At 43.7% G+C, this 24,313-nt stretch overlaps 1 protein-coding gene and 1 long non-coding RNA gene across 4 annotated transcripts in view, besides 2 other annotated features; one reads left to right on the top strand and one right to left on the bottom strand.

The window, feature by feature from the left end:
* The window catches only part of CLNK (cytokine dependent hematopoietic cell linker), a 248,452-nt gene that overhangs the window by 219,624 nt on the left and 4,515 nt on the right, over positions 1-24,313 (top strand). For 2 of the 3 annotated variants that reach the window (XM_011513775.3, NM_052964.4), the window contains exons 16-18: positions 1,626-1,759; positions 7,187-7,264; positions 13,812-13,967. In XM_011513775.3, coding sequence (XP_011512077.1) covers positions 1,626-1,759; positions 7,187-7,264; positions 13,812-13,967 — 368 coding nt within the window. Of the gene's footprint in view, positions 1-1,625; positions 1,760-7,186; positions 7,265-13,811; positions 13,968-22,751; positions 23,486-24,313 lie in introns of those variants that run through there. The other variant, XM_017007684.2, reaches the window with a different exon arrangement.
* LOC105374482 (uncharacterized) overlaps positions 1-24,313 on the bottom strand; it is a 41,073-nt gene that overhangs the window by 14,963 nt on the left and 1,797 nt on the right. Inside the window, exon 2 of the long non-coding RNA XR_925387.4 lies at positions 18,668-18,845. This is a non-coding gene — a long non-coding RNA (uncharacterized LOC105374482). The remainder of the gene's footprint in view (positions 1-18,667; positions 18,846-24,313) is intronic.
* Positions 17,872-18,818: an enhancer, noted in NCBI's record as "OCT4-NANOG-H3K27ac hESC enhancer chr4:10498029-10498975 (GRCh37/hg19 assembly coordinates)". NCBI's record gives its function as "activates a minimal SCP1, AML or CMV promoter by ChIP-STARR-seq in naive H9 embryonic stem cells {active_cell/tissue: H9 hESC(naive)}" and the evidence as "EXISTENCE:reporter gene assay evidence [ECO:0000049][PMID:30033119]".
* Positions 18,819-19,767: an enhancer, noted in NCBI's record as "OCT4-NANOG-H3K27ac hESC enhancer chr4:10497080-10498028 (GRCh37/hg19 assembly coordinates)". NCBI's record gives its function as "activates a minimal SCP1, AML or CMV promoter by ChIP-STARR-seq in naive H9 embryonic stem cells {active_cell/tissue: H9 hESC(naive)}" and the evidence as "EXISTENCE:reporter gene assay evidence [ECO:0000049][PMID:30033119]".

The raw sequence follows: 24,313 nt of genomic DNA, 5'->3' as shown, positions 1-24,313 counted from the left end.
TCTGTTGCCCAGGCTGGAGTGCAATGGCATGATCTCGGCTCATTGCAACCTCCGCTTCCCAGGCTCAAGCGATTCTCCTGCCTCAGCCTCCCTAGTAGCTGGGATTACAGGAGCACGCCACCATGCCCGGATAATTTTTGTATTTTTAGTAGAGACGGGGTTTCACCATGTAAGCCAGGCTGGTCTCAAACTCCTGACCTCAGGTGATCCGACCCGCCTCGGCCTCCCGAAGTGCTGGGATTACAGGCATGAGCCACCACACCCGGCCCAGAATTACATTCTTAAAAGATGACTCTGGGATTGTTTGTTTTTTTCTTGTAAATTTGTTTGAGTTCATTGTAGATTCTGGATATTAGCCCTTTGTCAGATGAGTAGCAGGTTGCGAAAATTTTCTCCCATGTTGTAGGTTGCCTGTTCACTCTGATGGTAGTTTCTTTTGCTGTGCAGAAGCTCTTTAGTTTAATTAGATCCCATTTGTCAATTTTGGCTTTGGTTGCCATTGCTTTTGGTGTTTTGGACATGAAGTCCTTGCCCACGCCTATGTCCTGAATGGTAATGCCTAGGTTTTCTTCTAGGGTTTTTATGGTTTTTGGTCTAACGTTTAAATCTTTAATCCATCTTGAATTGATTTTTGTATAAGGTGTAAGGAAGGGATCCAGTTTCAGCTTTCTACATATGGCTAGCCAGTTTTCCCAGCACCATTTATTAAATAGGGAATCCTTTCCCCATTGCTTGTTTTTCTCAGGTTTGTCAAAGATCAGATAGTTGTAGGTATGCAGCGTTATTTCTGAGGGCTCTGTTCTGTTCCATTGATCTATATCTCTGTTTTGGTCCGGCCATCCCATTACTGGGTATATACCCAAATGACTATAAATTATGCTGCTATAAAGACACAGGCACACGTATGTTTATTGCGGCATTATTCACAATAGCAAAGACTTGGAACCAACCCAAATGTCCAACAATGATAGACTGGATTAAGAAAATGTGGCACATATACACCATGGAATACTATGCAGCCATAAAAAATGATGAGTTCATGTCCTTTGTAGGGACATGGATGAAATTGGAAACCATCATTCTCAGTAAACTATCGCAAGAACAAAAAACCAAACACCGCATATTCTCACTCATAGGTGGGAATTGAACAATAAGATCACATGGACACAGGAAGGGGAATATCACACTCTGGGGACTGTGGTGGGGAGGGGGGAGGGGGGAGGGATAGCATTGGGAGATATACCTAATGCTAGATGACGAGTTAGTGGGTGCAGCGCACCAGCATGGCACATGTATACATATGTAACTAACCTGCACAATGTGCACATGTACCCTAAAATTTAAAGTATAATTTAAAAAAAAATAAAATAATAATAATAATAATAATAATTTAAAAAAAAAAAGATGACTCTGGGAGCCCTAAGGAAAGAGAGGAGGAAGGGCAAAGCTACAGGTAGAGAACAAAACAGAGAGAATTAAGGTCACTGAGTGAGCTGATATGGTGTTGACCAAGAAGGTCCTCACAGATATAGGAAGGAGCAAAGGGTTTCAGCTCCTTTCTGGAGGTGGGGGACAGACTGCACCAGTCACAAAATCACACTGAAATGTGAATTTAACCTTTCCAGATCATAGAGGAGGCATGCAGCCCTGTTCTCCTCAGAGATGCCAGCCTCCAGCCAGCTGCAGCCCTCACGAAAATATACTGCCCTATAAATACACAAGCTGGAGACCACCTTTCCCCAAAAGGTCTGATAGAAAGGTAAGCAGACACTTCTCTGCCAAGTCCTTCTAGATGTACTTGGCATCTAAATAGAGCTTTCCTGAACAATGCCCAAAAGGAGATTATTTATGTTTGACTTTAACTTTTTCCCTTCTGGCTATATGTTACTGGGTTTTAATATTTTTAAAGTATTTTAATATTTTTAAATATGTTGCTATATAACATATTACATTGGTCTCTCACCAGATTCTTTGACTGGCATGTTTCCAGATTCTAAAGTGTTTTTTTAAAAATTAATCCAAAAAATACAGATATTTAGACACGTGTTTTATATTTACCAGCTGTCCAATAATCTTGTGGGGGGTTAACTAGGATATACAGGTTGCAATTTTTTTCCAGCAAAAGATCCATGTATTACACACTCATTTCAGTTGAACAGTCCAGCGACCATTAGTTGAGCAGTTATTATGTGCCAGACAATGTGCTAGAGGTTATGATCCCCACCCTAATGGAGATGTAAAGAGTGGGGAGATGCAAATGGATACTAACTGTGTTCTTGTGTGTCTGTCATCTATTTTGTGGTCTCTTTCTAAAATATGCTCATTCACTACAATTGGTTATTTTTGGACCATTTTTTACTTACATTACCCTATGGTGGGGGGGATAAAGTTTCACTGTATCTTGTATGCTTTCTCTCCATCACATTGGATGTTACTTACTAAAGTCTTTCACTGTAAAGCCCCAGAGGATGTGCCTCTTCCAGGTCTCCATCCCATATCCTGCTATTACTCACTGTCCTGCTACAGAGTTCGTGAAGATTTCTAAGCAGAAGCAAATGTATAGAATATCTCTGGTGAATTCCTACAGTATCCTAAAGCTCTTTTGTTATCCTTATATTCATATTAATTTCTACCTAATTCTAAAAGGGTCTCATAATCTTAAATTAGACTTTGGAAAATATTTTCACATCCTGGCCAGGCACGGTGGCTCATGCCTGTAATCTCAGCACTTTGGGAGGCCAAGGTGGGTAGGTCACCTGAGGTCAGGAGTTCGAGACCAGCTTGACCAACATGGAGAAACTCTATCTCTACCAAAAATAAAAAAATTAGCCAGGCGTGGTGGCACATGCCTGTAATCCCAGCTACTTGGGAGGCTGAGGCAGAAGAATCGCTTGAACCTGGGAGATGGAGGTTGCAGTGAGCCAAGATCTCACTACTGCACTCCAGCCTGGGCAACAGAGCTAGACTTCATCACAAAAAAAAAAAAAAATGCATATCCTTCTTTTATTGTCCCTTGTCATGCACTCGGCTTCCTTTTGCTCTTTCATCTTCTTCGTAAACATGGGGATCACTTGGTTCTAACTAGAGGTCCACACAAGATTACGCTCCCTCCCAGATCCCAGATTCCTCATAGGCATGAGACAGGCTTGGACCACATCAGGATTTCCCTGATTTCAGCTATTTGAGTATACCTTTATGATTTGTGGCATATCTATGTCCTGTCAATAATAACATTTAGTTAATAATATTCTTTAAGGTGACCTGTTTTCACTTTATATCACTACTCTGGTTAATTTTTTTAACTAGTATTATATATTGTAGAAAGTGACTTTAGAAGTATTCCATTCCTTAGTCTATGCCCAAAAGAATTGAAAGCAGAGACTCAGATATTTGTACACCCATGTTCATAACATTATTTACAATAGACAAAAGACGGAAATAACCTATATGTCCATTGACAGATGAATGGATAAACAGAATGGTATACACACACACACAATGAAACAGTTTACAGCTCTAAAAAGGAATAAAATTCTAACGTGATACAATATACAAGAACCTTGAAAACATTATGCTGAGTGAAATAAGTCAGACATGGAGGACAAATATATGATTCCAGGAATACAAGGTACCTAGAATAGGCAAATTCATAGAGACGGAAGGTAGGATGGTGGTAACTGGGCCCTGAGGAAGGAGGTGGAGGTAATGGAGAGTTATTCTTTAATGGATACAGAGTTTCAGTTTGGAGTCATTAGAAACTTGGAGATGGATAGCGGAAATGGCTGTAAAGCAATGTGAATGTACTTAATGCCACTGAATTATACACCTAAAAATGGTTAAAATGGTAAATCTTATTATATTATTGCCGAAAAGAGTCAAATTCTGGAAAATATTTGAAGAGATTTATTCTGAGCCAAATATGAGTGACCATGGCCCGTGACACAGCTCTCCAGAGATCCTGAGAACATGTGCCCAAGGGGGTCAGGGTGCAGCTTGGTTTTATACTTTTTAGGGAGATAGGAGACTTCAATCAAATATGCTTTTTTTTTTTTTAATTTTTTTTGAGACAGAGTTTCCGCTCTTTTTGCCCAGGCTGGAGTGCCATGGGGCAATCTCAGTTCACTGCAACCCCCGCCCCACCTCCCGGCTTCAAGTGATTCTCCTGCCTCAGCCTCCCAAGTATCTGGGATTACAGGCATGTTGCCACCACTCACGGCTAATTTTGTATTTTCAGTACAGACGGGGTTTCACCACGTTGGCCAGGCTGATCTTGAACTCCTGACCTCAGGTGATCCACCTGCCTTGGCCTCCCAAAGTGTTGGGATTACATTTAACAAATACATTGTTTCAGTCCAGAAAGGTGGGACAGCTTGAAGTGGGGCCTTCCAGGTTATAGGTAAATTTTAGCAATAGGTTGAGTTTATCTAAAGACCTGGGATCAATAGAAAGGGAATATCACTGATAGATAGAGGGCTTATTATCGGTGAAGATAAGGCCTTGTGGAGACCAAAGTTCTCATTGTACAGATGAAGCCTTCAGGTAGCAGGCTTCAGAGAGAATAGATTGTAAATGCTTCTTCTCAGACTTAAGGTCTGGATAGATGTTAGTGCCGAAGAGCTATGAGGCGTGTCTGACCCCTACTTCCCATCATGACCCAAACTAGTCTTTCAGGTTAAATGTTAACAGTGCCCTGGCAGAGGAGGAAGTCCATTCAGATGGTTGGGGGACCTTAGAATTTTATTTTTGATTTACAATATTTTTCCCTAATTTTTTTAAAAAGTCATTGCAACGCAAACAAAACACGCTATTAAATTGTAGCAGGATCCCATCACCTGCTAATGGCTGTCAGCATAAGGACTGCTCTTCTTCTGTTAAAGAAGAGATTAGAAATGGCAGAGAGATATTAACGACATATTTGGCCAAAATGAAACATTCCTTTTGAATTATTCAGGGGGGCTAGAAAGAGAATTAGAAGGGGACTTCCCCCCTCCCCCCGCAAGTGATTCTGAGATACGTAGTTCAGTTTCTGAGCACCAGCTACACTCACCAGCCACACTCACCAGCCATCCCTCATGATCACACCTGGAGAAACACAGGACTAATCTCTAAATGTCTTCCAACTTGGACAAATAAATAAAAACCGACTTGATGAAATGCACCATGACTGAGTTCTTCCAAGTCCCTGGACTGGCCAAGAGGTCCCCTGGAAGCAGTAGACCACCTCAAGCTCAGACAGCTCATGCTTCAGTCAGGAGATGGGGCTCCAAGGCTTCCTTTGTCTCTAGAGCCTGTCACGTGGCTTTGCTGGAGTGAGGCAGAGCCGGTTCTGCCATGGACCTTTTCAGCACTACCTCTCCCCTGGGGGTAGGGACTAGGTCAAATAAGAGGTGACTTTTTGGCCAGGTGCAGTGACTCACACCTGTAACCCCAGCACTATGGGAGGCTGAGGCATGTGGATCACCTGAGGTCAGGAGTTTGAGACCAGCCTGAGCAACACGGTGAAACCCTGTCTCTACTAAAAATACAAAAATTAGCCGGGCATGGTGGCCACATGCCTGTAATCCCAGCCACTTGGGAGGCTGGGGTAGGCGAACTTCTGGAACCCAAGAGGCAGAGGTTGCATTGAGCTGAGATCGTGCCATTGCACTCAAGCCAGGGCAACAAGAGCAAAATTCCATCTCAAAAAAAAAAAAAAAGAGGTGACTTTTGGTCCCAATCTTGATGCAAAAGAATGCCTGAGCTGGGTAGGCAGAGGTGAGGACCAGGAGGGATTCCAGGCAGTAGGGCCAGTTCTGGTCTATCCCTAAAGCTGTGTGTGTCCAGAGTACAAGCACTTTTGTCTGGCCAGGCCCATGGCTGAAATGGGGTGTCAGGAAGTGAGGCTGCAGGGTTGAGTTAGAGCTAGCTCATACCATTCCAGATGGTGTTCACATCAGATCATGTGGTGTCCATCACATCATGTGAACAGAATCAGAATCTCAGTATTTAATATATCAGGTTTACTTTCCAGTGGACCACAGACTCCAAATGAATGAGAGACCAAAGACCTGATGTCACGTACCTAACTCTTGCCAACCATGTGACAGGTTTAGACTTCCTTTTTTTTTTTTTTTTTTTGAGACCGAGTCTCACTCTGTCACCAGGCTGGAGTGCAGTGGCACGATCTCGGCTCACTGCAACCGCCGCCTCCCAGGTTCAAGCGATTCTCCTGCCTCAGCCTCCCAAGTAGCTAGGACTATAGGCACACGTCACTACACCCGGCTAATTTTTGTAGTTTTAGTAGAGACGGGGTTTCACCATGTTGGCCAGGATGGTCTCGATCTCCTGACCTTGTGATCCGCCCGCCTTGGCCTCCCAAAGTGCTGGGATTACAGGCATTGAGCCACCACACCCAGCCCAGATTTTGACTTTCTGAAACTTCACTGTCCATCTTCACTAGGGTCTATACTACATGACATGCCTACTTCAAAGATGTGCTGTAGGGATGGATTGACATGCTACTAAATGAGGAAGGACCTTATAGATGCTGGACTCACAAGGGGGGTTATTTAATATTATGATTCTCGGAACCCTGTGAAGGAATTGCAAGTCCATGATGCATCTCCCTGACTGCCCTTCCTTCTCCCAGTTAGTCTGGATTTTATCATCAAAAGAATTTAGAATCATTTAACATTGATATAAATAAAGCAGTGCGGCCCAGGGAGAAAGCTAGATAAACTAGGATCCGAATCATAGCTCAGCGGCATCTGTGCCTCTGGGGAAGTGGCAGAGATGGGCTCCTTCCGCACCTCTTTCTCCCTCCCTGCTGTTTGCATGTGACTAGGGCAGTGTAGGCTTCACAAACAGTATACATTTCCACCTCAACAAGCCTCAGCAGCTGAAGATTCAGAAAGCACTGATAGATAGCAGGCTTATTATCCATTCTGAAGGTGGTGCTGAAGGACCTTTCTCAACAGATTCCCATAGACTTCAGAATTCCCCAGCTGCAGTAACTTTTTCTGTCTCTCTGCCCCAAGCATCTGTGGGCTTCTCCAAGTTCAGGGACTAAATGTTAGGTACTGAATATCTACTACAGATTACACTATGATTAGGCACTGGTGGAGCAAAAGTAAATTTTGAATTAATTAATCAATAATTCATACTTCCCATTGACCCTAAAATATTTATCATTGATTCTGTTCTGCAGGATGTCCAGCACAATGAATGGTACATTGGAGAATACAGCCGCCAGGCAGTGGAAGAGGCATTCATGAAGGAGAACAAGGTAATGCCTTCTACGTGGCCCATCATTATTGTTTCTATAGGCATCTTAAGGTTCTCTGCTTATGTGTCACAAGACGTAACAAGCAGCTTGCTTTCATGTATTATTTCCTGCATCACCCTGCATTTCTCAGTGCTGGGAGGCTGTAGTCGAAAAGGGCATTTAACATGGAGAGTTTCAGGCCGGGCGCAGTGGCTCACACCTGTAATCCTAGCACCTTGGGAGGCCGAGGTAGGTGGCTCATTTGAGGTGAGGAGTTTGAGACCAGCCTGAACAACATGGTGAAACCCCGTTTCTACTAAAAATAAAAAATAAAAAATAAAAAATAAAATTAGCCAGGCATGGTGGCACGCATCTGTAATCCAAGCTACTCAGGAGGCTGAGACACGAGAATCACTTGAACCTGGGAGGCGGAGGTTGCAGTGAGCCAAGACTGTGCCACTGCACTCCAGCCTGGGCAACAGAGTGAGATGCTGTCTCAAAAATAAATAAATAAATAAATAAATAAATAAATAAATAAATAAAAACAGAAAACAAAAAAACATGGAGAGGACCGGATGCGGCAGTTCACGCCTGTAATCCCAGCACTTTGCAGGATGAGGCGGGTGGATCACCTGAGGTCAGGAGTTCAAGACCAGCCTGGCCAACATGGTGAAACCTCATCTCTACTAAAAATACAAAAATTAGCCAGGCGTGGTGGTGGGTGCCTATAATCTCAGCTACTCGGGAGGCTGAGACAAGAGAATCGCTTGAAGCCGGGAGGCAGAGGTTGCTGTGAGCCGAGATTGTGCCACTGCACTCCAGCCTGGGCCACAGAGCAAGACTTCGTCTCAAAAACAAAAAACATGGAGAGTTTCAGCCGGACGCGGTGGCTCATGCCTGTAATCCCAGCACTTTTGGAGGCCGAGGCAGGCGGCTCACGAGGTCAGGAGATCGAGACCATCCTGGCTAACACGGTGAAAACCCGTCTCTACTAAAAATACCAAAAAAAAAAATTGGCCGGGCATGGTGGCAGGCGCCTGTAGTCCCAGCTACTCGGGAGGCTGAGGCAGGAGAATGGCGTGAACCCGGGAGGCAGAGCTTGCAGTGAGCTGAGATCGCGCCACCGCACTCCAGCCTGGGCGACAGAGCGAGACTCTTTCTCAAAAAAAATAAAAAACATGGAGAGTTTCAGGCCTGAGGCTTGGTCATGCTAATTATCAGCTGTGTGGCTTTCTCAGGTTTCTAAATAACTTCCCATGTAGATTTATTTATTTGTAAAATGAAACAGTAAAATCAACCCAAGGAACTATTTTGAAGATGAAATCTGGAAACTGGACTATAGAGGTCACAATAGAAGGGGCTTCCTTCTGCTTTCCTCAAGGTTTATCTCCTTAATCAAGGTTTGCCCAAAGTACTGTTGGGTCTTTATGTCTCACTTCTTCGAGAAAGGAGCAGAGATTGTGAAGGCTGCAATAGTCAGGATATGGTAGGTTATGCTGCAGCAACAACCCCAAGATCTCAGTTGCTTAACATAATGAAACTTTATTTTTTGCTTGCATACCATGTTCAGGACGGGTTTGGGTGGATAAACCCAGGCTGCCAGGGGCTGCATCTCACTGGTGTGCTTCTACCTTCACACTCTGACTCTTAATACATCCTCTCAGAAGTAACATATTTTACTTCTGCTTTCACATCTTTAACCAAAGGAAGTCACATGACCAAACTTAACTTCGAAGAAGGTGAGGAAGTACAAACCTACATGTGGCCAAAAGGAGAAAAGAACTGGAATACTTGTCATCAGGTCAAATGACTACCACAACCAACATCCCAAAGAGCAAATGATTATCGAATGATGACTATGTGCAGAGAACTATACGAGATTGCTTAGAAGTTATAGAAAGTGTCTCAAGACTGATGCAACATCAAAACCTATCCCCAGCTAACCAGTACAATGGTCACTGTTGAAGGAGGTAACCTAAAAATGAATGAATTAGTTAGTGAATAAATGATAGATCTACAATAAATTTTAATAAAACTTAGCTCTCAGAATTGATGTTGTAAAATTAAATAAATTATATGTATAAGTTGCTATGATAAACAGAATCATGCCCCCCCAAAGATGTTCACATTCTAATCCCCAGAACCTATGAATATGTCACCTTCATAGAAAAGGGGACTTTGCAGATGTGAAGGTAAGGATGTTGAGATGGGGAAGTTATCATGCATCATTATCTGGGGGGGCTCAGTATAATCACAAAGGTCCTTGTAAGAGGGAACCAGGAGTGTCAGAGTCAGAGGAGGGACGTGATAATGAAAGTGAGGTCAGATGAATGGGAGAACCACAAGCCAGGGATCTTGTTGGCCTCCAGAAACTGGAAAAGTCATGGAAACAAAGTCTCTCCTATTGATTTTAGCCCAGCAAGATTCATGTTAGACTTTTGACCTCCAGAACTATAAGAGAATACGCTTCTGTTTTACATCACTAATTTCATGGTAATTTGTTATAGCAGTGGTAGGAAATGATACCATTGCTATCAAAGTATCTTGAACATACACAGAATAAATGGAACATCCCATTTCCCAGATGAGGAAACTGAGGCTAAGCCAATGTGTTGGTCATAAAGCAGAGAAACTGACAGAACATGTATTCAAGATCAGTGCTCTTTTCACAAAATTCCAGCTGACTCTAGTAGCCCTCACAGTTCTTTTCACAGCCCGGGTGGAGAGCCGTGGGTGGTTGGCTGATGCAGCTCCTTGAGGACCTTCCTATCCTCTTTCCAGGGAATCTGGCCATGCCTTGGTAGAGTGGCAAACCTGGTGATGGTAGATTCCAACCCTGGCTGTCCATCTTGGCTAATCAGTGCCCAGTACACCATTGCACTCACAGAGCCTGTTTTCCGTCGGAAGAACTACTCTTAGTAGACCTCCTTCCAGAAGCCCATGTGTGGATTGTGCTGGAAAAGCAATATGCATGTCACCTGATGCTCTTCCAGCAGCATTTGGGCGCTCAGCAAATATTCCCTTCCTCTCTTTCTGTGTGCCTGCTTCTGCCTCTTCCCAAGAAACATTAAGAAAATAAAATCTCAGTTAAATGACTTCACATTTTCCTTTTCATATTTTCCTTTTCTGTTTGTCTCAGTTCTGTCAAAATGTGTTTCTCATTTATGAAAGATAATTTATTTTAAATTTCAGCATTACTCAGATTTATTTTGACAAATCGTTTCAGAGTTTAAGAGGACAAACCCAAAACTTGGCCATGAGTTTTGGCCTCTTCTCTCCTTCTGATCTTTGGCAGTGCTCTGTGCTTGAACATTAAGGCTTCAATTATGACTAAACATTTTAGGTAGAACAAGTTCCAGAAAATTCCGCCATCCTATTTTATATAGTCAGAGGCTTGTGTATTTAAAGGGTGAGAATTTGGTTTGGCTTTTCGGTATTCCATTTAGTAACCGTGATGCTTTAGGGTATTCACTTAAGCCTTTCGACCTTTATTCCTTTACCTGTAAAATGAGACTAAAATTTTTCCAACAATATTTATGTAAAGAACCCAACGTTTATGGCGGGGCACGCAGTGGCTCACGCCTGTAATCCCAGCACTTTGGGAGCCCGAGGCGGGCGAATCTCGAGGTCAGGAGATCGAGACCATCCTGGCTAACACGGTGAAACCTCATCTCTACTAAAAATACAAAAAGTTAGCCGGGCGTGGTGGCGGGCGCCTGTAGTCCCAGCCACTCAGGAGGCTGAGGCAGGAGAACGGCGTGAACCCAGGAGGCGGAGCTTGCAGTGAGCCGAGATTGAGCCACTGCACTCCAACCTGGGCGACAGAGCATGACTCCATCTCAAAAAAAAAAAAAAAAAAAAAAGAACCCAAAGATGTTTATGTAAAGACCCTGCAAATGAGCCGGGCGCGATGGCTCACACGTATAATCCCAGCACTTCGGGCGGCTGAGGTGGACAGATCACGAGGTCAGGAGTTTGAGACCAGCCTGGCCAACATGGTGAAACCCCGTCTCTACAAAGAAGACAAAAATTAGCTAGGCGTGGTGTTGGGTGCCTGTTATCCCAGCTACTCAGGAGGCTGAGGCAGGAGAATCACTTTAACCCTGGAGGCGGAGGTTGCAGTGAGCTGAGATTGTGCCACTGCATTCCAGCCTGGGCAACAGAGGGAGACTCCATCTCAAAAAAAAAAAAAAAAAAAAAAAAAAAAGTCTCTAAATGAAACAATGTGTGTAAAGTGCTTGGCAAATCTCAATGCACCTTAGCTACCAGTATCATCATAACATCACTATCATGTTACAGTATTATTTCTAAATTTTGTATACTTAAAGTATTGTTATGTTATATTATATAGTATTATTACCATTATTATATATCTATATTTATAAATATTCATTATTGAAGTATATAATTATATATAGCTATTATAAAATCTATATAAAGAATTATATATCATAATTTATTATTATAGCTATAAATCATTATATATATAATCTATATTTATCATACTTTTTTTTTTTTGAGACAGGGTCTCACTCTGTCACCCAGGCTGGAGTGCAGTGGCATGATCTCGGCTCACTGCAACCTCCGCCTCCTGGGTCCAAGCGATTCTCCTGCCTCAGCCTCTGGAGTAGCTAGGATAACAGGGACATGATACCATGCCTGGCTAATTTTTGTATTTTTAGTAGAGATGAGGTTTCCCCATGTCAGCCGGGCTAAGTCTCGAACTCCTGACCTCAAGTGATCCACCCGCGTCGGCCTCCCAAGTGTTGGGATTACAGGTGTCAGGCACCACACCCGGCCTCTATTCTTCATAGATCACTTATAACCATCTATACAATACACACAATTACACTTACAGATTTTTCAGTGTTTTTCATTATATAAATAACACAATGTAACCACAAAACTAAGCCTGGTAGATGTGTTCACGTTCAGGAGGACTGCTCCATTTCTCAATCTTTTACAACCAGATCTTAGTATCATTCTGAATTATTCTCTGGAGTGTACAAATTATTTCTAATCATTGTCCTGTTCTCAGCTCTTGGACCATTCAATGCTGTTGACCCGCTTTTGGAAACCCTCAGTCTCCACCTCTTGGCTTCTGTCACTCTGAATCTCCTGGTCTTCCGTCATCTTTCAGGCATCTCCGGGCCTTTTCTGTCTTTGCTTCCTTGCCCTATACTGGCCCTCACCTCAACATAGGCTACAATTCCTCCTCCCGTAAAGGGCCTCTCCATTCAGTTTGATATCCATGACTTAAAAGCCCCATGTCTCTTTCAGGAACCCTAATTCTGCATAGACATCTTTCCACACAGAAGTCCAATTTATTAGGTAAAAGTTTTTTCTGCTCAAAGCCTGCTGTGGCTCCCACTATCTCTAGAATAATACCCGAGCATCAAGCAGAAGAGGAAATATGTGAACATTGAGAGATGAATACATCAAGAAGGGGGCAGGAGAAGAGCTTTTCCATGAGGAAGGAGTAGCACATGTGGCATGGTTTGTCTGTGACCCTACACAGATCTCATCTTGAATTGTAATCCCCATAATCCCCACGTGTCTAGGGAGAGACCTGGATCTTGGGGGCAGTTTCCCCCATGCTGTTCTAGTGAGTGAGTTCTCATGAGATAGGATGGTTTTATAAGGGGCTCCTCTCCCTTCACTCCTCACTCTGCTCTCTCCTGCTGCCATGTGAGAAGGTCCAAGCTTGCTTCCCCTTCGCCTTCCGCCTGATTATAAGTTTCCTGAGGCTTCCCCAGCCATGTGGAACTGAGTCAATTAAACCTCTTTCCTTTATAAATTACCCAGTCTCAGGTATTTCTTTATAGAAGTGTGAAAACAGACTAATACATCATGCAAAATCTGGGAGCCCCAAAGCAGATGGTGCCTTTGGGAAATGGTGGCTTGGCTGGAGCCAGGAGCCAGAGGCAGAAAGCTGCAGGAGCAATGAGAGATCAAACTGCAAGATAGGTTGGTCATGCTAAGTTCATGAGCACTATGCCCAGGTCAGTAGGAAATGATGAAAGATTTTCTTTTTTCTTTTTGTTTTTGTTTTGGAACCAGAGTCCTGCTCTGTTGCCCAGGCTGAAGTGCAGTGGCACGATCTTGGCTCACTGCAATCTCTGCCTCCTGGGTTCAAGTGATTCTCCTGCCTCAGCCTCCTGAGTAGCTGGGATTACAGGCGCCCGCCACCATGCCCGGCTAATTCTTGTAATTTTAGTAGAGACGGGGTTTTTCTGTGTTGGCAGGCCTGGTTTCAAACTCCTGACCTCCGGTGATCCGCCTGCCTTGGCCTCCCAAAGTGCTGGGATTACAGGGGTGAGCCACCGCACCTGGCCTCAATGAAAGACTTTCAAGAAGAGAGTGTCAAGATCCAACTGGTACACATCTCAGAAAGTGACAAGAACCCTTAGGCATACAGACACTCAGTAAAAACTTACTGAATTAAAGTGGTTTACCAAAAACTAAATCCATCTGGGAATCTCATGCATGCAGACATCATTGTTGCCACCATTACAAGGGCAGAATGCTGGCGTGTCTGAAAAGATGACTGTTACTCTTTTTGCTTCAGGATGGTAGTTTCTTGGTCCGAGATTGTTCCACAAAATCCAAGGAAGAGCCCTATGTTTTGGCTGTGTTTTATGAGAACAAAGTCTACAATGTAAAAATACGCTTCCTGGAGAGGAATCAGCAGTTTGCCCTGGGGACAGGACTCAGAGGAGATGAGGTGGGTATAACTTAACAGCCTCCCTGTTCCAGGCTAAGCGCAACAAATAAAGGAAGAGTTTGGGGGATGTCACCCTGGAGGAAGAGGATGCCGCCCTGAAGGAGAGGGATGCAGTCTGACCTCCCCACCCCTTCCACAAATATCTGCACATCTTACACTTTGGCCTACCAGGCCAGCGACCAGTTCTGACCATTTCATGCACCCCCATTCCCTGCGTTGCCTGTTAAAGAAAACTCATTCTACAAGACACATCTAAACTCTGCCTCCCAGGAAGCTTCCAGCGGAGCATACACTAATGCCAAATTCCTTTCCCTCCTCAGCACTGAAATGCCACTGCAGACATTTCTGATGTCTGTCAGAATTCCTTATCTATAGACTCGTGTCCCCAAAATGAATGTGAACCCAGCCACAGCATTAGGGCTATGTTGGGCATGCCTGTCCTCAGTACAGATCTGCTGATGGAGGCGAAAGAGTGAATCAATTAAAATATTCGTGAATAACATAAATCAATCCACAAGAAAGGATAAATTTTCACTGACTATGTATATGCCAGGCCTAGTCTATCTGCATTTTTTTTTTTTTTGAGACAGAGACGCACTCTGTCACCCAGGCCAGAGTACAGATCTCGGCTCACTGCAACCTCCTCCTCCCAGGTTCAAGTGATTCTCCTGCCTCAGCCTCCTGAGTAGCGGGAATTACAGGCATGCCCCACCAAACCCGGCTAATTTTTATATTTTAGTAGTGATGGGGTTTCACCATGTTGGTCAGGCTGGTCTCGAACTACTGACTTCAGATGATCTGCCTGCCTTGGCCTCCCAAAGTGCTGGGATTACAGGCGTGAGCCACTGTGCCCAGCCAGCAGTATCTTATTTTGATCCTCAACAACTCTTTGGTGTCATGATTTTTCCTATCTTAGATGTAGGAAAACTGGGGCTCAGAAAATTAAATAAATGGCCAAAGACACACAGGCAGTAACGGAAGGGGGAAGGAGAGGCTTCTCTTGCAACTCTTCTGTTGATGAAGGAAGGGGTAAAGGAAGGAAGGAACGAAGTTAGTTATGAGCCACCATTTCTAAGGATGTGAGCTCAGTCCAGTGACTTAACTTCTCTGGGCTTCAATTTCCTCAAATGTAAATGTTCTTTTAAAGCCTAGACTTCAATAATTTAATGATTCCTGTTTAACATCTCCAGGTCTCAGTTTTATCTGGGGGTGTGCATTGTTATAGGCTGAATCGTGCCTCCCTCATTCCAAAAAACCCACACGTTGAAGTCCTAACCCTCAGTAGCCCAGAATGTGACTGTATTTGAAGATAGGGCTTTGAAAGAGGTAATTAAGGTTAAACAAGGTTATTGGGATGAGTCCTAATCCAATATGAGAGATGTTCTTATGACAAGAGGAGATTAGGACACAGGCACACACAGAGGGGCGACCATGTGAGGACACTGGGAAGGGTCGACCATCTGCAAACCAAGGAGAGGGGTCGTGGGAGAAAGCAGCCTTCCAACACCTTGACCTTGGGACTTCAGCCTCGAGAACTGCGAAGAAAGACATTTCTGTTGTTTAAGCCACCTTGTCTGTAGTGCTTAGTTACGGTAGCCTTGACAAACTAATACAGGATAAAACCAGAACTTTCACACAGATACCGATTGTTCTTCAACAGATAACAAAATAGGGCACATTGCTAGGGCTGCCAACAGGCTTCAGGTAGGCACACGTGTGAAATCGATGCGCAGGCTGCATAAAGATTCCAGCTTAAATCCCGTGTCTGACCAGAGCACTTTTTTGAGACTCGGAGAGGAATAGTCAGCACCTGTGAGGCGACCATGAGGTCAGTTCACCACTGTTAGGAATAACGCTCAAAATCCTAAGGAAATTGAACACTCGAACAAAGGATTCTTAGCAAAGCAATTTTAGTTCTGCACAGAGGGGTGCCTCCTTGGACAGTCGCAATGAGAGCATACCTGAACAAAGGGGCACGAGAGCCTTTATTCCTGACACAAGTCCTGCCCCTGTCCCCTTTCCCCATTGGCTGGGGTCAGGTCTTACAATCTAAACTAATCCCAGTTGGCTAAACATTTGATTTTTTTTAGATAAAGTAGGCATATAAAAGAAAGTGGAGAGGAAGGGGAAGGGGTGTCTGTAATGAGCTAAAAAGTTAGTCCTCTTTCCAAATAAGGAAAGGAATGTGAGCTGGTACTGATAATGCCTGGTACTGTGGCGTGCCTGGGCATCTAACAAAGGCAAAAAGGAAAACAGGAGAAAAAGGACAAGGGTTGGGGGGGGGGGGGTACAATGAATTAAAGAATAAAAGTTTGATCGGATTATTTGAAGAGAATCTTCATCATATCCCACACCACCATTTGCTACAGCCCGGGAACACTGTGACATGAACAAGTGCATGAGTGAATCCATAGATTAATACATAAATCTACCAGGTACAACCACATTAAGAAAGTGCTACGTTAACACGAAAGACAGAAGTGGTCAGTTCTTCATTTTGTGGAGAGGATTGGCAAGTTAATAAATGTAAAACACTTAGAACAGTGCCTGGGACCTATCAAGCCCACAATAAATTTTAGTTATATTTTCATTACTATTCCTGAGTCATTTTAATAAGTAGGATATAGTAGCCCTAAGATGCCTATGGTAATGGACTTTCCAGTTCAGTGTCCCTTTATCCTTCTATATCTTCTCTCAGCTTATAGAATTTCTCATCTTTAGGAAAGCATTATATAATTCTTATTTATTTATTTTATTTTATTTTGAGACGGAGTCTTGCTCTGTCACCCAGGCTGGAGTGCAGTGGCGCGATCTCGGCTCACTGCAAACTCCGCCTGCAGGGTTCACGCCATCCTCCTGCCTCAGCCTCCCGAGTAGCGGGGACTACAGGCGCCCACCACCACGCCCGGCTAATTTTTTTGTATTTTTTTAGTAGAGACGGGGTTTCAGTGTTAGCCAGGATGGTCTCGATCTCCTGACCTCGTGATTCGCCCGCCTCAGCCTCCCAGAGTGCTGGGATTACAGGCGTGAGCCACAGCACCCAGCTTATTTATTTATTCTAAGACGGAGTCTCGTTCTTGTTGCCCAGGCTGGAATGCAATGGCGTGATCTTGGCTCACCACAACCTCTGCCTCCCGGGTTCAAGCGATTCTCCTGCCTCAGCCTCCCGAGTAGCTGGGATTACAGGCATACGCCACCATGCCCAGCTAATTTTGTATTTTTAATAGAGACAGGGTTGCTCCATGTTGGTCAGGCTGGTCTGGAACTCCCGACCTCAGGTGATCTGCCCACCTTGGCCTCCCAAAGTGCTGGGATTACAGGCATGAGCCACTGCGCCCGGCCAGGAAAGCATTATATAATTCTTAAATGCTTGGGTTTAAGGGTTCTTTTTCCTTAGAGAATAGAGGACGTGGACATGGTGTGCCTTTGCATGTGCCAGGGCCTTGGGCCAAATGCTGTTTAATTTGCTCTCACATGGAGTTCTTGAAAAAGCTCTGGAAAGGACATATTAATGAACATCATTTACTGGCAAGGAAACTGAGACCTGAGATAGTTACTGCTTTTTTTCCAACATGCCCCACTTTGGTCTGCTAATAAAGAAGAGGAAGTAGAGTGACTCTGTGATAATATCCTAACAGCTTAATCAGACTGTCAGCCGGTTCACTGACTATCTTGGCAAATAAGGAGCATCTCCTATGGCAGGCCATAGATTAGACCCTCCGCCTCCAGATGAGCTGCTCTAATTACTGTCACCAAGGAACCCTGAGAGAACCAAATGTCTGTTTTAAGAAGCTCCTTTCTGTGTTCATCTGGAATTTTCTCCTCCTTTGCGTTCCTTATTTTTTTCCCATACATGTGTTGAACATACATTTCCACAGGTGAAAGAATGAATCAATTAAAGCATTCACTAATAATATAAATATATATATACATAAAGCAAGCAATGAGAAAGAAATCCAAGGCAGAATCCTGAGTTTTGGTGGGGTTTTATATGCACTGGAACTATTCTGTGCAGTTAGCCATTAATGACTAATTTGATCTATTGAATCCTCATAGCCAACCTCTGGGGTAGGTGCTATCAATATTTCAATTTAACAAACTGTGAAACTGAGGCACAGAAATACTAAGTATCTGGCCCAAAGTCACAGCTAGTAAACGGCAATTCTGGGATGCGGTATAGTTTGCAAAACATTGACTTCCATTACCAGTTGAAGGTATCCAGATTCTTGGCATCTTGAACAAAGAATTGGACAAAACACACAAACAAAGCAAGGAAAGAATGAAGCAACAAAAACAGAGATTTATCGAAAATGAAAGTGCACTCCATAGGGTGGGAGCGGGCCCCGGCATAGGGGCTCAAGAGCACCCTTAAAGAATTTTCTGCGGTTTAAATATCTGCTAGAGGTTTCCATTGGTTACTTGGTGTTCGCCCTATGTAAACCAAGAGGATGAAGTAAAGTTACAAAGTCATTTACTCAGTGTAGGCCCTATGTAAATAGAAAGGATACTTCCTGTCATAACTGAAGTGTTTCCATTTGATTTGGTTCTAGGAAGTCCTTAGATTCCCTGCCTCCAGACCCTGTTCTCATGCCTCGCTTCCACAAACAGACTCAAATAACACCATGGCAAATACAAGCAATCCCTCACCCGTTTGAAAACATTGCAGGTTGAATCACAGTTAAAGAATAGTTAACACTTACTTGGAGCTTACTGTGTTCCAGGCAGTGGGTAAAAAATGACAATTCACAGGTGGTTCTTCCTGCCTTCCCTCTGAGGGAGCTGTGCCCTGTGTAAGAGGAAGACGGTCTGGATTTCACTCAGTTCCCTCATGCTTTTCACAGCGTGAGCCTTTTGTCTTGCTGAGGAAGAATCACGCCTCTTTAAAACAAGATAAAGGCATTTTACATAGCAAGGCTCTGCTAAATGCAAGCCAACAACTAGCTACTTTAGCCACGGTTCAATTAAAGAAAGCATCTTCACCCAACTCAGCAGGAAAAACATAATGAGAAACAGCATCTTCAAAGATTATTTTAATTTCATGTAGTTTTGTAGCTATCTTGCAACTTTTGAATTTAACCACACAGATGATGCAGCAATGCCTAACTCTTGGGAGTTATTTTGAGTGTGACATGAGTTGATGTAAATAGTGGCAGACACATAGAGGCATGTGCTTAATAAGTATTCCCTTCCCCAGAAACTTTGCAGTTTAAAACAACTGAAATTTCTTGTTTCACAGTGCTGGAGGCCAGGAGTCCAATATCATGGTATCAGCAGGGCCACACTCCTTCTGGAGGCTCCAGGGGAGAATCACTCCTGGCCTCTTCCAGCTTTCCGTGGCTGCCAGCAATCCTTGTCTTCCTTGGTTTATGGCCACGTCGCTCCAGTCTCTGCCTCTATGATCACGTGACCTTCTCCTCATCTCTCTCTCTCTATGGTCACGTGACCTTCTCCTCATCGCTCTCTCTATGGTCACGTGACCTTCTCCTCTTCTCTCATCAAAATCTTCCACTGCTCCTATCTTATGAAGAAACACATGATTGCTTTTAGGGCCTACTGGGATAACCTCGGATAAGCACCCCTTCTCAGGATCCTTAACTTTATCCTGTATTATACCATGTAAAATAGTATTAGCTCTTCTACAATGTAAGGTCATATTCCAGATTCTGGGATTAGGACATGGACATATTGGGGGGAATCATTTAGCACCCACTGCTCCTTTACTTATTTATTGTCCAAGCATTAATTGTAAGCCTACAGTATGTTAGACTCAGTGTTGCATTCTGGGAACACAGAAAGAGTCATGTCAAGTCCCTGCCATCCAGGGAATACCCTGTGCACCTGTGCCGATCTCTGTAGGCACCTAAGCAAGAATGAGATTGGTAGAACATCAGCCCTAGCCAGCCAAGGAGGCACCTGCCTTAAACAACCTGCGGAGCTTAAGTGCTGCCAAACATCAGCCCTGCATCTCAGTTTTATAAGTCATGTTTGTCAACATTTCTGTGAAATCTCAGAGAAGGGACATTTCAATTTCAATTTCCAGATCTCTCCTTTTGTTCTACAAATGTTTATAAGTTTCTAAAAACCACCGTAGATATTTACATGATAAACTAAACGTTAAAGACTAAAGAACAGAGACAAATAATTAACCCATGGGTTTTTTTCACACCTTCTCTGTCTCCTTCCTTCTCCTCCTGCTTGCTTGGCATTTATCTCTCTTTCTCTTTTCTCCCCCTTTCCTTCTTTCACTCTCATGTGTGTACCCAAACAGATTTCTTTACTTTTCTGGCAAGGAAACATCGCCCACAGTTCATATATAGAATAAACACAAAAGGTTTAAACAGATTTTAAGATCTAATAATAGCATAACATTGGTTGTCCCCCTGGAAAAGATTATTCAATATGTAAGAGAGCTTGAATATAATCTTTTTAAAAAGTCTCTTCAGGGCAATATTTCAATTTTGACCCCATCATTAGAAACCAATAATAAGAAAGGACCAGGCTGGGCGCGGGGGCTCACGCCTGTAATCCCAGCACTTTAGGAGGCCAAGGCGGGTGGATCACTTGAGGTCAAGAGTTCAAGACCAACCTGGTCAATATGATGAAACCCTGTCTCTACTAAAAACACGAAAAGTTAGCTGCGCGCCATGGCACATGCCTGTAATCCCAGCTACTTGGGAGGCTGAGGCAGGAGAATTGCTTGAATCTAGGAGGCAGAGGTTGCAGTGAGCCAAGATTGTGCCACTGCAATCCAGCCTGGGTGACAGAGTGAGACTCCATCTCAAAAAAAAAAAAAAAATAGGAAATACTGTGTGACTAGTTGCACCTGTCTTGCTGCCTACTACCTGTTAAAGTTACAATTTCATATGAAATGTCATCCATGTAGCAGATTATTAAAACAATTAATAGCAAATGTATTATTTTGGGACAATCTTAAAACAGGAATGATACTAGGACAAAGAAATCATCTTCCCTCTGAAGACTGAAACTAGGAAAGATTTCCTTTTTTGTGATGTGGATTTAACCAATTTTGTGAAAGAGTTCTGCATAAAAAGTTTTTTTGTGTGTGGTTGTTATTCACTTTTTGTTTTAGCAAGCATGAAGACAGAGAAAGAAAACTTTGTGCTTGGTTTAAAATTGGAAATGAAATACAGAAAATTCTTCTCTTCCTAAAGGCTTACAGTAATGGTCTACAAACTTCTTGGTGATTGCATTGCTCTCTCATGATGTTCTTGGCAAAGCTAGAAGGGAGGAGTTAATCATAAGGCCTGGCATGTGCTGAGCACTCACTGTGTGTCACACTTTCTTCTGAATGCTGTACTGCATATGCATCAATTCCATTCTCACAATGAATCTCAAAGTTAGGTCCTATCGTTACCATCACTGTTCATAGAATAACTGAGGCACAGAGAATGCAAGAAACTTGCTGACAGTCACACTGCTAGTGGTTGGGAGAGCCAGGCTTTGAACTCAGGCATTTAGGCTCCACAGGCCCTCTGGTTACAATTACCCTGCTGTAGTAGAGATTAATCTCCCCATTGGACAATGGGGAAAGTACCTTACCTTAGCATCAGGTAGAAACTCATATTTATTGTATACGTAATATGGGTGGTGGTGTAGTCTGAATGTTTGTATTCCTCCAAAATGTATGTGTTGAAATCCTAAGCCCTAAGGTGATGGTGTTAGGAGGTGAGGACTTTGGAAAGTGATTTGGTCTTGAAGGTGGAGCCCTCACAGATGAGATTCGTTCCCTTGTAAAAGAGTGCATTGCTCTTTGGACCATGTGAGGACACAGCATTAAGGCAAGAAAATGGGCCTCTCCAGACCCTGAATCTGCCAGTGCCTCGATCTTGGACTCCCCAGACTCCAGAAAGTGAGACATACATTTCTGCTGTTTCTAAGCTGCCAGGTTTATAGTACTTTTTGTTGTTGTTTGTTTTTTGAGATGAAGTCTCTTCTGTCTCCCAGGCTGGAGTGCAGTGCCGCCATCACAGCTCACTGCAACCTCCGCCTCCCAGGTTCAAGCGATTCTCCTGCCTCAGCCTCCCAAGTAGCTGGGATTACAGGCACATGCCACCATGCCCGGCTAATTTTTTATATTTTTGGTAGAGAGGGGATTTCACTATGTTGGCCAGGCTGGCCTCGAACTCCTGACCTTAAGTGTTCTGCCCACCTTGGCATCCCAAAGTGCTGGGATTACAGGCGTGAGCCACCACGCCTGGCCTAGTATTTTAACAGGCTGAACACACTAAGTCAGACTGACACATAGGTTATCTCATTGGAAACTGCTGCAGATCCAGTAAAGGTTTCAGAAGGACAAGGGACTTACAGATTGAACCAGGACTCTTTGGGTGTGAAAAGACAAACCCCAATTCAAATGAGCTCAGGCGGGAGAGAAGGAAATGTGTTGTAATGTAACCAGAAAGGACAGAAATGGACTCGATCCAGGGACTAGTTAACATCAAGACATTCCCACTCTACATTTCTTTCCCCACGTTTTTATCCCCAGCGTGGTGTCTGTTTGCTCTTCACACACCCCCTCCCCCCATCCCACATGACGGTGGGAAGGAGGAGATGACCCTGGAAGTCACAGGTTTATAGCGTTTTAATTGCTTTCTATTCAGTGCGCCTCTAACAGAAAAGAACGTTCCCTCCCAACAGCCCCGAGGGAAGCCTCTGAGCGACCTGGTGAAGTTCTTAAGCCTCAACGGACAATTTTCACAGCACATAGCTCTAAATGAAATTATTTGTTTGCATAGGAAATTATTTTCTGCCTGCTCCCAACAGAACGTCATCCCTGTGAGGTCCTAACTGGCCAATCTCATTCTCCATTGGCTATTCCTGAGGCCTTGCAACATTGCTGCACCTAGGATGCCCCGGACAGAGGAAGGAGTGGACAAAACCAAATCAGAGGCAGAGTAGCCCCCACACGGCTCCCTTTCTTCAGGCTATGTCATCTCTACCCTGGTTTGTTGGAGCATCAGAGGTCACAAGCTATAGGCAAAGCTGAAAAATAAAAAGAAGTATCCAGAAAAGTGAGCCTTCATTCCTGGTCTCATCCTCCCTAGCCATGGGAGACTCTGAGTAAGGCGGTCCACTTCTCTGAGCTGAAATTCCCTTCGCTCTTTAGGGAAGATCATTCCCCCTGCCCTGTTCACCTCACAGGCTTGCTAAGGAGGATCTAAGTTGTCTTGAAACATGGGAGGCAGGTTGAGCAAGCTCTTCCTAATTATCTCCCAATATACTCCTTCAGGAACTTATCCAAACTCACCTGATCAGAATTACTGTGTATGCAGAATGGACATTGAAGGCTCAGAGAGGGAGAGGGTGAGAAGGGGGCTAAGGGATGAAAAATCACCTACTGGGTACATACAATGTATATTATCTGGGTGATGGGTACACTAAAGCCCAAACTTCACCATTATACAATTCATCCATGTAACCAAAAGCCACTTATACCTCTAAAGCTGTTGAAATTAAAAAAAAAAATTACTATATATGCTCAAGTCTTCTCAATACCTGTCCTTATGCATGGTCCTGTACATTCTCTGCTTTTAATGTCTTTAAACCCTCCTGTCTACTTATCTGGAATGACCCATAACATAGCCCATTTCAAGTCTGTGTCCTTGACAAAGCACTTCCCCATTTCCCTAAACCTGAAATAATCTTACTTTCCGTTAAATTGTCATAACATTTTATCTGTGTATCTAGAAACACTGAAATCTGCAGCTACCTCATTATTTCACAAGAAGCTTAAGGAGGGCAGCTAAATTAGCTAAGCAGCCCCGTGGTTGTCCCTGTTCTTTCTATGTATACTAGAATTCCTTAGACTTCGTTACTGGAGGGCAAGCTCACTGCAGGCATTGCCCACCAATTTACTACATTCGAGCCTACATCTTCTATATTTTTGCTGGTCAGAGCTAAGGTTGAGGTTTGGGAGGCAACAGAGATTCCAAGGCTTGATTGCTGTGTAATTAACCCATCTGAGTCCTTAGGATAGAAAGGTTGTGATAACAATAGAATGGAACTTGACCAGTGTGATCTGATTCCAGAGAGGGGAAACTCCCTGTATAGGAAGTTTAAAGAGCTGCCATAGGGCTCACTTTTGGTTCTCTCAAGAATTTTTTTCTCTCTTGTTATCATTCTTATCACTCATCCTTCAAGCTTGCCATATTCTTTTTAAAAACTACTTCCGGTCAGGCGTGGTGGCTCATGCCTGTAATCCCAGCACTTTGGGATGCCGAGGCGGGTGGATCACCTGAGGTCAGGAGTTCGAGACCAGTCTGGCCAACATGGCGAAACCCTGTCTCTACTAAAAATACAAAAATTAGCTGGGCGTGGTGGCGCAT

The sequence above is a fragment of the Homo sapiens genome, chromosome 4 (assembly GCF_000001405.40).
Source record: "Homo sapiens chromosome 4, GRCh38.p14 Primary Assembly".
In the NCBI taxonomy this organism is placed as follows: Eukaryota; Metazoa; Chordata; class Mammalia; order Primates; family Hominidae; genus Homo; species Homo sapiens.
The sequence above is the reverse complement of the archived record's forward strand: the minus strand, read 5'-3'. Positions and strand labels throughout refer to the sequence as shown.